This window comes from Homo sapiens, chromosome 1 (genome assembly GCF_000001405.40).
Source record: "Homo sapiens chromosome 1, GRCh38.p14 Primary Assembly".
Classification (NCBI taxonomy): domain Eukaryota; kingdom Metazoa; phylum Chordata; class Mammalia; order Primates; family Hominidae; genus Homo; species Homo sapiens.
The window spans coordinates 207,452,630-207,467,872 of record NC_000001.11 but is presented as its reverse complement, the minus strand read 5'-3'; the positions used below and the strand labels follow the sequence as shown (position 1 = coordinate 207,467,872).

Genomic DNA, 15,243 nt, shown 5'->3' with positions numbered 1-15,243 from the left:
TATGTGTGTGTGTACAACTAATACATATTCTATGCCTTACTTCCTCTACTTAGCGACATGTATACGATATCCTTCCATGTCCATACATATATGTCTGTCTAAATTGTTACAAAGGCTTAACTGTTTTCAGCAGCCATTGCCCTTTGTAACTATCGTTAAGATCTCCTTCCTCCAAGGCTATTTATCAATCAATCAATCAATAAACAGAATCCCATTTTATACTAATTTAACAGTTTTGTCAGCTCTTTAATCTGCTTAAAATTTGTCAATATTGTTCTTTATTAAGAAAATACCTAATTTGATAGTATAATTTTTGTCAAATATTGCCATTTCTTGTAATTGTGGAATTCAAATTCAGATTTATATTTCAGCAGCAACATAAACCAAACCAAAAGAGAAGGAATGAATAATTTACAGTAGGTCCCTATTTTCAAAGGCATTTATTTGAAATGTGATGGCTCAGAAGATGACTTGGGGAAATAGTGGATAACTTCAAAACATGTTTACAGAGACCACAGAGAGCAGGATATCACCTGTGCTAGACTGTGTTAGCAGCTACTTATACATTAATTTCAAATCCATTGGGTGTATTTTTGCTATAAGATCCCACCGTTCTTCTCATTTTAACAGTAACACAGATATACAGTTGAAAACCACCCCATTCCCACATCCCCAACAAACTCTGACCCCATCCTTGCAAAACTTACCCTACTCAATTATTAGGTGTGTTTAATTACATTTTTCCATGTACTTTAAACTCCTTTGCTCAATTGATGTTTTTTGAACGAGCAGTTATATGCCTCCACGAAGAAGCCATAACTTTCACCTTTTCCCTTGTTTCCTTCTTCCACCCTCATCATTACATGTTCACACTGTTTGTCCTTCAGGAGGGTACAAAACGTGGTCTGCACAGAAAGGCAAGACCCCAACCTCCCAACCCAGCTTTCTTTTCATACTCACCACTTACACAGGTTGGTAGTCGTGTCGGCCCCCACATATTATTTGCTTGACACCAAACAGACTTGTTTCCGTTCATGGAGAAGTTGGTTTTACAGGCAAATGTCACAGAATCACCATGTCTGTAGGGTGTAGAGCCTCTAATTTTGTATCCTCCTGGTACTATGGGCTCAGGGCAAGAAGAATATTTATTGAAATATTCACATTTAGGAGCAGGTTTATCCCAGGTTCCATCCACTTTGTCTTTAGTTATGCATAATAGACTTTTTTCTCCAATGAGGCGGAAGGTACCTGAACAACTGTACCTTATCACGGTACCAACAGCAATGGGGGTAGAATAATAACTAATCCGGCCATTTAGGATAGGCGGAGGAGAGCCACAAGAAATCCCTGAAAAGTAGAAAAGGAACTTGGTAGGCATACTGATCATGGTGAGAAAATATTCAAATGTAGGTAAAATATCCAAATATAGATCACATAACTTTTTCAGAAACAGACTTAGAAATATGTATAGTTTATTTATTCCCTGCTTACTCCCAAACTCCTAAATTCTTACCTTTTTCTTGATCCTCAGCAAACAGATCAACATAAATCATCTTGACCAAACAATAATAATGAAAAGAATATATCCAAAAGTTCTGAGTCTAATCAATTTTAATAATGAAACAAAAGGCAAATTCAGCACATGAAAATAACATATTAGTGGCATGATAGTTACATGTGGGGAGGTACCATGGATTAGGGAAATTTGAGCTCAGTGGACCTAGTTTCAACTCCCCACGGTCATTCAATAGCTGTGTGACCTCAGGCAAGTCTTACTCTCTTTAAGCTTCAGTTTCTTAGTCTATAGTATAACGCAAACTACTTCATAAGGTATAGTGAGAATCCAGTGCTAAAAGTACATGAACAGAGAAAGTACAATACCTGGAACATACTAATTATTCAATGGCTGCTTCAAACACACAACTGGGGGTACAGGCTGAGATGACCACTTTTGGTCCTGCTGCTGAAGATGCTAGAGCCTCAGTACAGGTGATTTGTCCTGACTTGAGGCTGGAACACTTTGAAAAAGCCACAGGAAGTGAACAGAGGTTTTGAATAATGGCCTCATATTCTTCATTTACTTGTCCTAATAACCATGAAGGATATTGTTTACATTTACTTTGTTATGCACGCCTTTTCTGAGGGAGTCTCAGAATAAAGGGAAAATTGCCAACCTCTAGAACTTTCAGTTAACTTCCCTTTGGCTCCAAGAGGAGGTCTTCAGTGAAAACTGACATAAGAAGATACAGCCAAACTGTTTCATCACATCAGTGCTATACTTGGTTTCAGTAAGGGTAACTTTCGAGAACTGTTGTCTTTATACATATAGAATCTGCAGTATAATATATACTCAACTGAATCAATTTAACATCTTTGGTCTGCATTCCAGAAGACAGAGAAGAGTGGCATATATATGTTCAAAGCACACCTATGGATAAGATGTGATAATTATATATATATATATGTATGAAAAAATCTCTAATCATTGACTTTGGTGCTATCTGCTTTTTTAAAAAAGCATCTTTTAATTTCCCCTACAATAACACAGATCTAGCACTGCCCCAAAATACAAAAGAAGAAAAAGTCCTACATCTGCAACATTTAGATATTACTTTCAAAGTTTACTTTTAAACTCTTTAACTAGGCAGGGTGTGGTGGTTCACGTCTGTAATCCCAGCACTTTGGGAGGCTGAGGCAGGTGGATCACCTGAGGTCAGGAGTTCAAGACCAGCCTGGTCAACATGGTGAAACCCCATCTCTACAAAAATACAAAAATTAGCCAGGCATGATGTTGGATGCCTGTAATCCCAGCTACTCGGGAGGCTGAGACAGGAGAATCGCTTGAACCCAGGAGGTGGAGGTTGCAGTGAGCCAAGATCACGCCATTGCACTCCAGCCTGGGCGACTGAGCGAGACTCCATCTCAAAAAAACAAAAACAGAAACACAAAACAAACAATAACAATAAAAAACTCTTTAACTAGAAAACTCAACCACATATACTATCTTCCTTCTGCTCTTTCCATAGGTACCATATATCTATTTCCCAGAAAAACCTTGTTTTATTTCTAGATCCTGAAGTTTCAGCCCAACTCACCCCTGAAGCACTTTGGCAGTAGAGGATTCTGTTTGCTGTTTAGTTGACACCATATTACATTGCTGCCTTTCAGGGTAAAACCAAGCTTACACTTAAATATCATGTATCATTTTAAAAAAATGAACATAATCCAGATTCCACAACTCCATTTTCAACTTCTATAATTGAGCATTCAAGTAAGAGTAATACACTGAAGAGGAGGGTTGCTCCAGAGCTCCAGACATCAACTTGATTATCTTTGCTGGTGCAATGCATTGACTTCTCATCCAAGAGGTCAAACAGCTTTTCCCTATTACATCCAATATGGCACTGATGATTTCATAGCAAACCCCTCTCCCTGCTGCTGCTGTCAAAGTCCCATGGGGGATGGCTGGGAGTGACTTACAAGGAATACCTTTTTAAGGAGTAGGTGGGGAAAGAGAGAATATTATACTTTCTGAGAATTTTCTCTTCATTCTTGCAATCCAAACTGCAACTCAGCCTACAATTTACCTATTTTGTTGAAATTCTGTATCCTGATCTCAAAGATGATTCTAAATAGGAAGTAGCAAGGTCAAAAGATATATGGAACTGGCTGATAAAAACCGAAAAGCTATGAGCTGGTCACCAGTCCCCGCCCCAGACCACAGATAAATTGTTATAGAAGGGACCTAGGGTGGCTTACTTTTTGCATGGAATAAAGTTGGCAGTGTGTAATCTCCTGGAATGTTTTAGATGTAAGCATTTACTCACTATGAAATAACTTATAATCAAAGGACAGTAAACAAAGGAACGTGTGGTAGGATTGGGGGCCATGAGGAAGATGGGTAAGTCATAGCTGTGTGCCTAGAGCTACTCAAACCAAGTGTAAACCCTCCTGGCTACTCACTTTGGTGTGCAGATGCTCAATTTCCCTCTGGAAGGGGACAAGAGGAATTAAATAGGGTGCAATAAAGAGATTGTTTTACTTACATTCATTAAAAGGCATGTCATTATCCCAGGTTACAATATTGTCTGAGATAATACATGTAGCAGATGAGTCACCAAAGAGTAGATATCTAAAGACAAAGAGATAAGAAATCTCGCGGCACACGTTTACCCTGTAACAAAACTGCACATCCTGCACATGTACCCCAGAACTTAAAATAAAAATAAAAATAAAGAGTGATCATCTCCCAGCTAGACTTACATTTTAGAAAAACTTAGTTCTTTCTCTACTGAAAGAATAGCAGAGAATAGAATATCATTTATGACAAGCAGGGGTGACAGATTAAGGACTCATACAATTTAAAGCCAAATGAAATTCAAGCTCCTGGTCAGTAGCACTGGAGACTTAAAACTGGAAGAGAGCAGCCAAAACTTCCTTCTCTTCTAGGGATCCTCTCTAGCTGGTAATCTTGAAGCAGTGTCTCTGGAGTGGATCAGGGAGGTGATTCCTTTTTGCTTATTTATTTTAAAAAGTATGTGGCAATTACTCAGATCTCTTTTGGAAGAGTGATGGTTTCTGGTTGGAACTGCTGTTCTGGTATCCATGTACCCAGGAACTGTCTCCTGCCAACTCACCCTTTATTACAAGAATATGTCATTGTCAACCCAAATGCAATACCCATGTGTGTAATCACAGAGTCCTAAAGGAGTTCTCTATGACTCACACATGATTTATCTACAAAAGAAAACCAAATCAACCCAAACAGAATTTGAGGCTGGGATTCAGGAGACTTTTTGGAGACTTTTTGTGTTTTATATTAAATCTCAACCTGACTGGACTTGCTGACAGGCCTGCTTATGTTTACTCACAGAAATTCTTACATTTACAAAACTTTCCAACGGATCAGTCAACTCTAGAACACTACTTGTTTAATGCACACAGTCTGCATTTCTGTGCATGGATGCCAACTTTATTTGTGGTCAGTTATAACTTATAGTCTTCATTTTCCATTTTTATACATATTCTGTTAATCTATGATATCATCTACCAAGTCTTCTGCCTTAAAAATCTCACAGTGATCATTTCCTTTTTGTAACTCATCCTCTAACTCATCCTCTACTCTCTTCTCTTCATTCAATTACTTACTGAAGTTTAGTGACTGGACTCCAGAAATCTCTCTCCAAACCAACTATTTTGTCATTGCAGTAGTCTCTCATTGGATCACTGAATGACATAATTTACTTTTCTAATTGTTCTCCCTTGGGCTGGTACACCTTCTATACTACTGCACATTTATCTTTCTAAAACACAAATGTGGTCATGCCACTCTGCACATTTAAAAACTTACTATGACTTACCACTGTTTATAGGGAAAAAATGCATATATTTTTTTACAAGTAAGCTCCAATCCATTTAATCAACTACCATTCCTCACTATGTAGCCTATACTCCAACAACACTGATTTTTTCCAGAGACATCATGTTCTTGCACACTTATGCTTTTGCAAATGCTGTTTCCTCTGCTCAGAGGGCCTATAGTTCTCTAATTCTTCTAGGTAGCATTTATGATTTATTTCTCTATGACCTCATAGCACTTCTTAAATAAGAGAACTACCTCATAGTACAATATATATTTAAGAGTTGGCCTTTACAACTAGTGTAGGAGTTTCTCAAAGGCAAAGACTATCAGATTCATTTTTATGTCACTCCCAGGCCCCACTGTCTGGTCTAGAGCTTAGTATCTAGTAGTTACTTAAAAGTATTTTTTGAATTGAATGGGATGAGGATGAGGTAATATTAACATCTCTTGTCTCTAACTTCTAACCTCACCCTAACACAGTATGGATACCATAGATCAAAGTCATAAAGATCACAGGATGAATAGGTTTGGCCAGCTATCATGACTTAACCCTCATACCCAGTGCCCCTAGGAGTAAAAGGAAGCATGGAGCACTCAGGAGCCCTCTTCACTTGAGATGACATGTGAATTTACTGGTCTTTTATCTTAAACATAACATGTTATCTCATCCAGATACAGCGACAGACCCAAATATGCCTCTATTACAGGATTACTCACCTTTACAGAACTGCTGAGCATCTGACCACTTGAAGATCTCTAGGGAGGTGACAAAGAATGCCTCTTGATATACCCAAGAAAGCATTTGTATTTGCAAGATATCTCAACAGCAAACTTAAGATTGGTTACTCTGAATTTTAGGCTTAGCAAAAGGAAACCTTGGCAGAAACTTACCCTGACCTGAGGACCTGAGACAAAGGCTACAGAAACATAAAAACCAAGAGAGGCTAAAACCTCTTCTCTGCTTCTGCCTTGTTACCAATTATCCTGAAAACTTTGATCTTTAGAATGAAAGTCTAAAATAGGGCAATATTTTATGGAATGAAGAATGCATATCATTGCAGTAAGGGTGAATATACACAGAAATAAGCTCAGAGGTTCAGAGAATTTTTAGGGTAGACTTCAGAGATGGAGAAAGTAATTTTTCATAAAATTTCAGAAAATCCTCAGAATTGTTCCATCTCCTTCACCCTTACAAGTAAAAATTAGTGGTTTTAGTTTGTTTGCTTGTTTTTTCACAGTGAGGTCAGAGTCTGGGGAAAACAGGAAAGGCATGTGGCAAGGGCCTTGAAGGATGATTACATATGTTTTGATTTTTTTTTATAAGGGTGGTAGGGGGAGCGGATATTAATATTTTTCCCAGCTTCAATGAGGTCTTATTTATACACAAAAAAACTGCACATAACTAATGTACGCTATTTGTGAATTTGTGGGACAAAAAGGTAAAAATCTTTAAATACAAACTTTCCCAGGATAGCATAAGAAACTAAAGTATATAAGAGATCTTGTAAAAGCTCAGTACACATATGATCCTGAAAATTACTTTAATGAATTTACATAACTATCTTAGCTATTAAACCGTTAATGCCTAGAGAGGAGAAAATATGTTGATTATTCTTCATTATTTTATTCTGTTAATCTAGTAGAGTAATATGCCACCAAAGAGAACTCAGTAAATACTTTCTGATGGGAACTAGATAAAGGGACAGTCATTTCAACACAGATTCCTGTGACTTAAAGTAACAATATTATTATTAATAATGGAACAGAAGTTATTCTAGGAGATAGGTAAGAAACTATAGCAATGATACACTTAGGGATATAGCTGGAAAAGTCATTTTTCTATGTATGAGAACGAGCTCAAGTTTCAACGCCCTAAACTGACAAGCAGAAAACAAGAAGTTAACTCTTCTTCCAGATCAGATGGTAGTCCAGGCAAAAAAAGAAAGTACTCAGTTGTAAGGCCCTCCTAGAATAGCAGTGTATTTAAATATCAAATTTATAATCTCCTTTTTCAAACAGGTCTGAGACAGGTACGGGTGAAAGTCAAAGTATAAACATGGATGAACTGACACAAGGTCACACACAAAGCTCCCAAAACACAGCCAGACCTTAGCTGTGACCCCAAACTACTACTGGAGAAGTCACAAAGACTGGTTCTAAGAATAGGCATCATTATTGGGAGCCAGATATCACTATAGGTCCCCTTCTATTTATTTCCTCAGTTTCTTTAGTTTTCTCCATTAACAACTACAAAAGTCTCCAAGTGCTTACTCTGTGCAAAATAGCAAGATTCTATAAGGAATATCAGGGTTTGACCTCAATGAAGACAAACTTCATGATCCTGATACTACTTGTACTAGTGACTCTAGTCAAGTGACTTAATCTGTAATTATCAAATGTAAATAAGGACAATATCAAATTATCCTCCACAAGCTGGAAAACCAATTTAAATTTACACGATTTAATCAGTGGCAATGACATGGACGAAGATGGAATGAAGATCCAGAAATAGCAAAAGCAGAAGGGTGCTTCACAGCATAACTTTCCATGATGAAAGGAGATACGGATCACACTTTCTGGATGATAAAAAATGGGAGGGTCTCATTTCCAATAAGGAGACTTAAGGGCTATCTTCCTTTGGGAACATCAATCCTCATTAGTAACGAAAGCCAGAATCCCAAGTCACAAGGCAGATCATATCAGAAAAGGGAAGGTTAAGCCATGGGCCATCAAGTAATACAAATTTTCTTGAGGGTCACTGGACCCTCTTCACATCTTTCTGTAGCCAGGAGTAAAACTCAGAGGAGATCATGACTGGATTGAAGATCAAAGATGGTGACTTGACATTCAGACACATATCCTTCCAACCATGTTTAAAACTAACAGGCGAAGCAGTTTCTGAGTTAAATGAACAGAGATATATTTAATTACTTGGGCCCAGGGACTTTACCTGGAATGGCTTGGAAATCCATTTGAAATGGATGAAAAACAAACATATAGGATAATAAAAATAAAACTGAAATTTTAGTCAGAAAGCAGGTAGGAGGGAAAATCATTATTGAGACTGATAATTCATATAATCAAATACCTTAATACTGGGTTTCCTGCCTATTTGATAAGCAAGTTTTGAATGATGATGTGAAAGTTGTCAGAATCAAAATAGAGTCACTAATGTAATAAAAAAAAAAACAACAAAAAACACCTTCAGAAAGCCAGGGAAGGCCATGAAAATAGGGTTCTCATGCTTGTATACCTGTTAACCCAAACTATCATAAAAGACTGAAAAACCACAACCGTGCACAAAAGCCACTGCAACCCTACAAGAACATCCTTCCGGCATCTGCCTGTATAACCTCAAACTGGCATCATCCTTGTTATTGGTCTTTGTAGCCAAGGATAATTATTCTAAAACAATTATGTAATCCTCATATTTTTCCTTTAAAAACCTTTGTCTTCTTTTACTTCCTTGAATATACACACAATTCATAATCACACACATATTCCCATTGCAATGTTCTATTCCCAAACAAATATCTTTTTTTTTTAGGGTCTTTCCCTGTTTGTTATTTAGTTTAACAACAGTTATGCATATTAACCAAAGTTCAGTCCTAAGCACAGGAGATGTATCTGTGAACATCAGAGACAAGGTTCCCACCCTCATAGAATTTATAATCCAACAGAAAGAGACAGACTGTAAATAGATACCAGGAAATAAATAAGAAGGTGCTGAACATGAAATATGAAATAGAGTGATATGTCACAATGTAATGCACTGGAAGGAGAAGGGACAGGGTGGCATGCAACTTCAGTTATGATGGTTAAGGAAGGCCTGTGAAAAGGCAACATTTAAGTTGTGACTGAAGGACAAGAAGGAAGAAGGAAGCAGCCAGGCAAATTGCTGGGTACAAGTATTTTAGGCAGAGGCCTAACAGGAGGAATGGATTTGGTATGCTCCAGGGACAGACAGAAGGCAAGTGTGGCTGGGATGCAATGAGCAAAGCAGAATGGTCCACGATCAAGTCAGAAAACTCAGCAGGAGGGATCATGAAGGGCTTTTTAGACCACAGATATGTGAATATTATCCTGAATAGAAGTCATTGGAGAGTTCAAGCAGGAGAATCACAAGGCCTGACTTACATTTTTAAAGGAATATTCTGGCAATTGGGTAGAGAGTGGATCGAACTGCTTACTTTTAGAAGCAAAGAGTACAGTTTAGGGCCAAAAAAAAAAAAATGAAGCTTGGCAAAGGATTGAGCAGTGGATATATTTTAGAAATAGAATTGGCAAGATTTTTTGTTGTTTTACATGTGGGGCTGAGGAAATGGGAGGATTCCTGACTTCTAGACTTCTGACTTGGGCTACACAATTGATAGAATTACCCTGTTCTGAGGATGGAAAGCCTGAAAAAGGAGTGTGTGTGTGTGTGTGTGTGTGTGTGTGTGTGTGTGTGTTGTGGCCTTGAGGTAGGGAATTGTGTTCAGAATCATTTCCATTCAGACTTGGTATATCTAACACACTAGGCATCCACATCAAGATGCCAAGTAGGCAGTTTGCAGCTCAGGAGAGAGGACAGAACTATAGATAATAAATATGAGTCATCAACATATAAATAGTATTCAAAGCCATGAGACAAGATGAGTTGAGGTTTTTTAGGAAGAAGAAATGAAGAAAGAAGAGGCTCAGGGCTGAGCCCCAAGACCCTCTAATATTTAGAGATAGAACAAAAAAGACTAAGAGACAACAGGGAAGTATGGAAAAAACAGGTAAGAGTGTCTTGGTTTGGAAGATGAGAATGATAATGGTTTCAAGGTAAAGGAAGTCATCAGTTTTTGCTGAAAGACTGAGAAAGATTAACATAGAAAAATGACCATTGGATTTATCAGCATAAGGGTCAGTAGCGACATTGCAAGAAACAGCTTCAGGAGACTGTGGGGAAGAAGCCTGTCTGAAGTGGAGAAGGAGATAACGAAATTTGAGTAAGTAGTCAATGAAAAGTTTTGCTGAGAAGAACAAGAAGAGGGACAGGAAAATGGAGTTCCAGTGGGTCATGAGAAGGTCCATAAAGGATTTCCTGGGGTATACTTAAATGCTGGTGGGGATGATCATACAGAAAGAGGTACATTGATGATGCAAGGTAGGAGATATCTGCAGAAGTAAAGTCCTTGCAAAGGCAAGAGGGTATGGAACATGATCATGAATACAGGAAAAGGAGCTGAATTTGTCAGCAGAATGGATACTTCTTTCATTGTTATAGGAGGAAACATACCAAGATTTCAATTCATATTTATTGAATTCCAAATTACAGGCTATTGATAGGAACTCAAATCAGGAAATAAGGCAGATTAAGGTCTTGCACTCATGGAACTTGTATTCCAGTGAGGGAACAAACAACAAACAGGTACATAAATAAGGAAGAAGGTTTTAGATGGTGATAGGTGGTCTGTAGAAAATAGAACACAGTTTTGTATTGGAGAGTACCCTGGAATATGGATACTTCAGACAAGAGTCAGAGAAGCACAACAGAGGGCTGAGCCTTGAATGTCAAGGAGACAGGCAAAGAATAATTTGTAGGAAGAGCATTTCAAAAGAGAGAATACCTAGTGCAATTGTGCTCAAAGAATAAAGAGAAGGCCAGTGTGGCTGGGGCAGAGAGAGTGAGTGGGGTACAGAGAATTTCAGGGAGAGGCAGAAGGCCTCAGACTGGAGAATAAGGGGTATGGGTTTTATTCTAATGTGACGGGAAGGCCTCAGCAGGTTTTCTGCAGTGGAGAACAAAATCTGATTCTAGATGGAGGTAAGTTTGTAAGTTGGTAGGTTTGTAGCCGATTAGAAAATGGGAGCATTCTTGTTTCATGGTTTTGTTTTCTCAGCATAGGATAAAGTTAGGTGGCCACTGAAGGCTTGAGTAAAATCTAGAAGTGTAGGAAATTTGAAACTGTTTATGCAAATAGACAAAAGGAAAAATAGGAAAACACTAAAAAGGAAATTTGCTTCCATTGACTTTGCTTATAGCAGTGTGCCCTATAGATACTTGTTGCAGAATCTTCTAGAGTGATTGTTAAACCTCAGCTTTCCTGTGCTAACTCCAAACCTATGAACCTCTGGAGGGGGAGGTGGAACCAGGAACCTACATTTTATAAAGGTACTTTAGTATTTTATTAAGCACACTCAAGTGCAGGAACTGGCCAAGAGATGATGTGTGGAGAGCATGCAGTAGCAGTAAAAGTTAGCAGTGGAGAGTGGGCAAAGCATGAGCCATGGGAGACAGGTGGGGAAGACCATGAGCAGCGCATACAAGACAGGCAGCTGGAGAAATCAGGGGGTGTGAGCTTCGGTGAGATCCCATTCCAAAGGGCTAGAAAGGCTGAAGACACCAGATTTTCTTCCACTGGAGGCCTTTTAGATTTTTGAACAATGGAGTGAAATAATGAAAATATATATATTTCTTAATTTTTTGTTTTCATAATTGGAAAGTGACCTATAGGTCACTCTTTAACCTTTCCAATCATAAGAACCAAAATCTCTTAAAAGAGATGAGGTTGTTACACAGGTAATTATAATGCTTAGGATGGGAATACTGGTACAAAAATGAGAAATGGACAAACAACAGAAGCACAGTAGCTTGAATGGCTGATAGGTAGACCTGGTATTTCATGGGGCTCCAGTTAAGTGACCTACATGATGCTGCTGCTGTGGCCCTGAATTGGCAGGACTGGTGAAGAATTTGATTTTCAGTTGATAATATCCTCTTTGAAATTTAGAAATAGGTGAGAAGTCAGGGACGTACTCTGCTCTTAGAAAAAGTGTGAATATACATTTGTTCAAAGGGAGTTAATATGCAGAAAAAGAAAAGAGATGAAGATAATGGTCTGGAGAAAGGTTTAAGGGTCAGGAGACAGTAAAATGTCAGGAAAGCAAAAAGTTGTAATAAACTAATATGTGCTGTATTCCAGACACCTCAATAAGCTGGATGTCCATAGAAACAATTGGACACCCAGCTTGTTAGCTTAAATGCTGGCTCCATAAAATCAAGTCTGTACAGGAGGCTTATTACTGATATTTAGTAGTAACGACTAACATCCAACTTTCTTTGCTTAGTTTCATCTGTGCTCAGGGCAGCTCAGTGAGGTGGAAGGCCAGTTAATCACTAGTTTCATTTTACAGATGAAGAAACTGAAGATCAGGGAGCTAAATGACTTGCCAAAAGTCACCCAGTTATTGAGGTCTGCACACAGTAAACGTCTTATAAACTAGGAATGCACGGTACCGTGGAGATAATTAGAAACTTAGACCCATCCTGTAGCCAAGAGACGCTAATCTTAATTATAATCTTTCTTTAAAATCAAGCCAATCTGGAGGAAAAAAAGATATAATAAACGGTGAATGAGACCTTTGCGGACGTCCACACCATTACAGTAGGTTAATAACAAGAAGAAAACAATAGTTTTAATCCATGTCTCAAAAATAACTACGGATGGTTAATGTTTAGGATCTCTACCAATATCACATTAGAGTTCAGAAAATCTGAGACCCATGCTTGGGAACCAGGTCTTACTCTTATTTAGGGAAGGGAGCCGAGGTTCTGCCGCTTTTGCTGGGCAAGAGCGCGGTTCGGGTGTACAGAAACAGCCTCACGTGGCTAGCTGGTGCCTCATGCAGTGGGTAGGTTTCCCGTGGCGAGCGGTAGCGCTGACCGCCGGCCAGAGAGCGATGAGCACCTGCAGAATCCTGGGGGCGGGGAGCCCGGCAGGAGACCGCGAGCACCCGCACGCCGCCAGCCACACCGGGCCGACCAGACAGCGCCCCTCTGTGGCGCAGCCTCCAATTCTGGAGGTCCCAGCTCCCGGAGGGGCCAGTGGGGACAATCAGGACCAGGCGGTTTATTGCAGTGGTCCCTCAAAGCTAGCGGGAGGCGGACACGCGTCGAGCACTGCCCCCACCGTCTCGCTTTTGGCCCCCTGCTTTGCATCGCGGCACAGAAACTTTCCCTGCCCGGGACGCGTCCCCACCTCCGTGCTCCCCCTCCCAGCTCACCGAGGACCCCCGGTGCGACGAGAGCCAAGAAAACCCCGAGCAGGCCCGCGGCGCCCATGCCACGGCCGAAGCCCCCGCGGCGGGATGCGTTCCGAGACCCGCGAGCGTCCGGCAGCTCTGGGAGGGCAAGGCTGGAGCAGCAAGCAGCTGTGAGCCAGGAGAGGCGGGCCCTTAAATAGTGTCCGGCACACGTGCTAGTTCTGAGCGCACACCTGCAGGCGGCCTGGGGGCTGACGCGGCGCCGGTGAGGGTGGGACAAGCGGGAGGGACGGCCCGGCACGAGGTGGGCGGGGAGCTCTGAGCCACTCTTTGGCTCAGACTCACCCCTCGTTGCGGTGGCTTCCCCACTTTTTTGACCACGCAACCCACTACACTCACTTGTTTCTCTTACTAGAACTTAAACAAAACTTTCACAAGTTAGTACTCACCCTTAGTAATCTACAATGTTCGTCCTCTGTGCCATGCTGTGTTATGCTAGACTAGGCTAGGCTATCCTATTCTTATTAGAAATCCACCAAACTCATTTCAAAACCTATTAGTGGATTCATCTCCCAGTTTGAAAAAGCAGTGTAAGTTTACTTAGGGAATTTAGGAACAGCAGCCACTTCTGCTCTGTTCTTTATTTTGAAGTAATCTCTACAGAAAAGTTTCAAGAGTACTGCAGAGAATTCCCATATACTTGTCACCCAGATTCTCTGCATGTTAACATTTTGCTGTATTTTCTTTACCATTCTCTATTCTTTCTCTATAGACATATATGTACATATATGTGATTATATAATTATAATTATATAATTATTACTTTGGAACCATCTAGCATTTATTCCTATTCTAAATGGTTCACTAAGGACTTTCTGTTCCATAACTAGAGTGCAATGATCAAAAATAAGAACTTAACATTGACACAAGACTATAAGCTACCATCTGTATTTAAATTTTGACAATCATCTCAATAACCTGTGTTATGGTAAAAACAATAACAACAATAGAAACCAACCTTTGTTTTTCCTGGTCCAGAATCATTTCAGGATCATGTATTGTGTTTGATCATTATGCCTTCCCCCCACCCCCAGTTCTTTATTCTGGAAAAATGTCCTCAGCATTTTTGGTATTGCATGACCTTTACATTTTTGACGAATACACCACAATTATTTTTGGAGAATGACTTTTAAGTCCGTTATCTATTATAATAACAAATTACCCTGAAGGTAGTGGTGTAAAGCAAGAATAAACATTTATGATCTCACAGTTTCTGTGGGTCGGTCAGGTGGTTCTGGCTTGGGATCGCTCAGGAGATTGCAGTTAAGACACCAGCTGGAGGTGCAGTCATCTGAAGGGTTAACTGGGATAGGCGAATCCACATCTAAGATGGCTCACTTACCAGCCTTTGGCTGGAAGCTTCATTCTTCACCACGTGGATTTTGCCATAGGGCTCGCTGCTTGTGTGTTGAGTGTCCTCGTGACATGCCAGCTAGCGTCTCTGAGAACAAGAAAGAAGAAGCCATAATGTCCTTTGTGACCTGTCCTCAGAAATCACAATATGTTAACTCCAGAATATCCAATTGATTGTACAGATCAGCCCTTTTCAGTGTAGGAGGGCAGTATACGTGGATGGTAATGTCAGGAGACAGGATCACACCCCACAATTTGGATTTGTCTATCATTTCTTCATGATAGATTCAGGTTATTGAATCTAATTATTTGACAGGAATACCAGAAAGGATGTCTTATCCTTACGGGGAGGCATATGTTGTCTATTTGTCCTATTACTGGTGGTGGTAACTTTGATCACTTAGTTAAGATGGTGCCTGCCATGTTTCTTAGTGTAGACTCAGTATTTTTCCCTT

General features: G+C 39.8%; 1 protein-coding gene across 2 annotated transcripts in view, besides 2 other annotated features; it reads right to left on the bottom strand.

Annotated features, from left to right (window-relative positions):
- CR2 (complement C3d receptor 2) overlaps positions 1-13,545 on the bottom strand; it is a 35,565-nt gene extending 22,020 nt beyond the window's left edge. For both annotated transcript variants that reach the window (NM_001006658.3, NM_001877.5), the window contains exons 1-2: positions 13,397-13,545; positions 961-1,347 (exon numbers count right to left, since the gene is read on the bottom strand). In NM_001006658.3, coding sequence (NP_001006659.1) covers positions 961-1,347; positions 13,397-13,454 — 445 coding nt within the window. In that variant the 5' untranslated portion in view covers positions 13,455-13,545. The remainder of the gene's footprint in view (positions 1-960; positions 1,348-13,396) is intronic.
- Positions 12,987-13,096: a silencer, noted in NCBI's record as "silent region_1772". NCBI's record gives its function as "represses an Ori minimal core promoter by ATAC-STARR-seq in GM12878 lymphoblastoid cells {active_cell/tissue: GM12878}" and the evidence as "EXISTENCE:reporter gene assay evidence [ECO:0000049][PMID:35858748]".
- Positions 13,477-13,706: a silencer, noted in NCBI's record as "silent region_1771". NCBI's record gives its function as "represses an Ori minimal core promoter by ATAC-STARR-seq in GM12878 lymphoblastoid cells {active_cell/tissue: GM12878}" and the evidence as "EXISTENCE:reporter gene assay evidence [ECO:0000049][PMID:35858748]".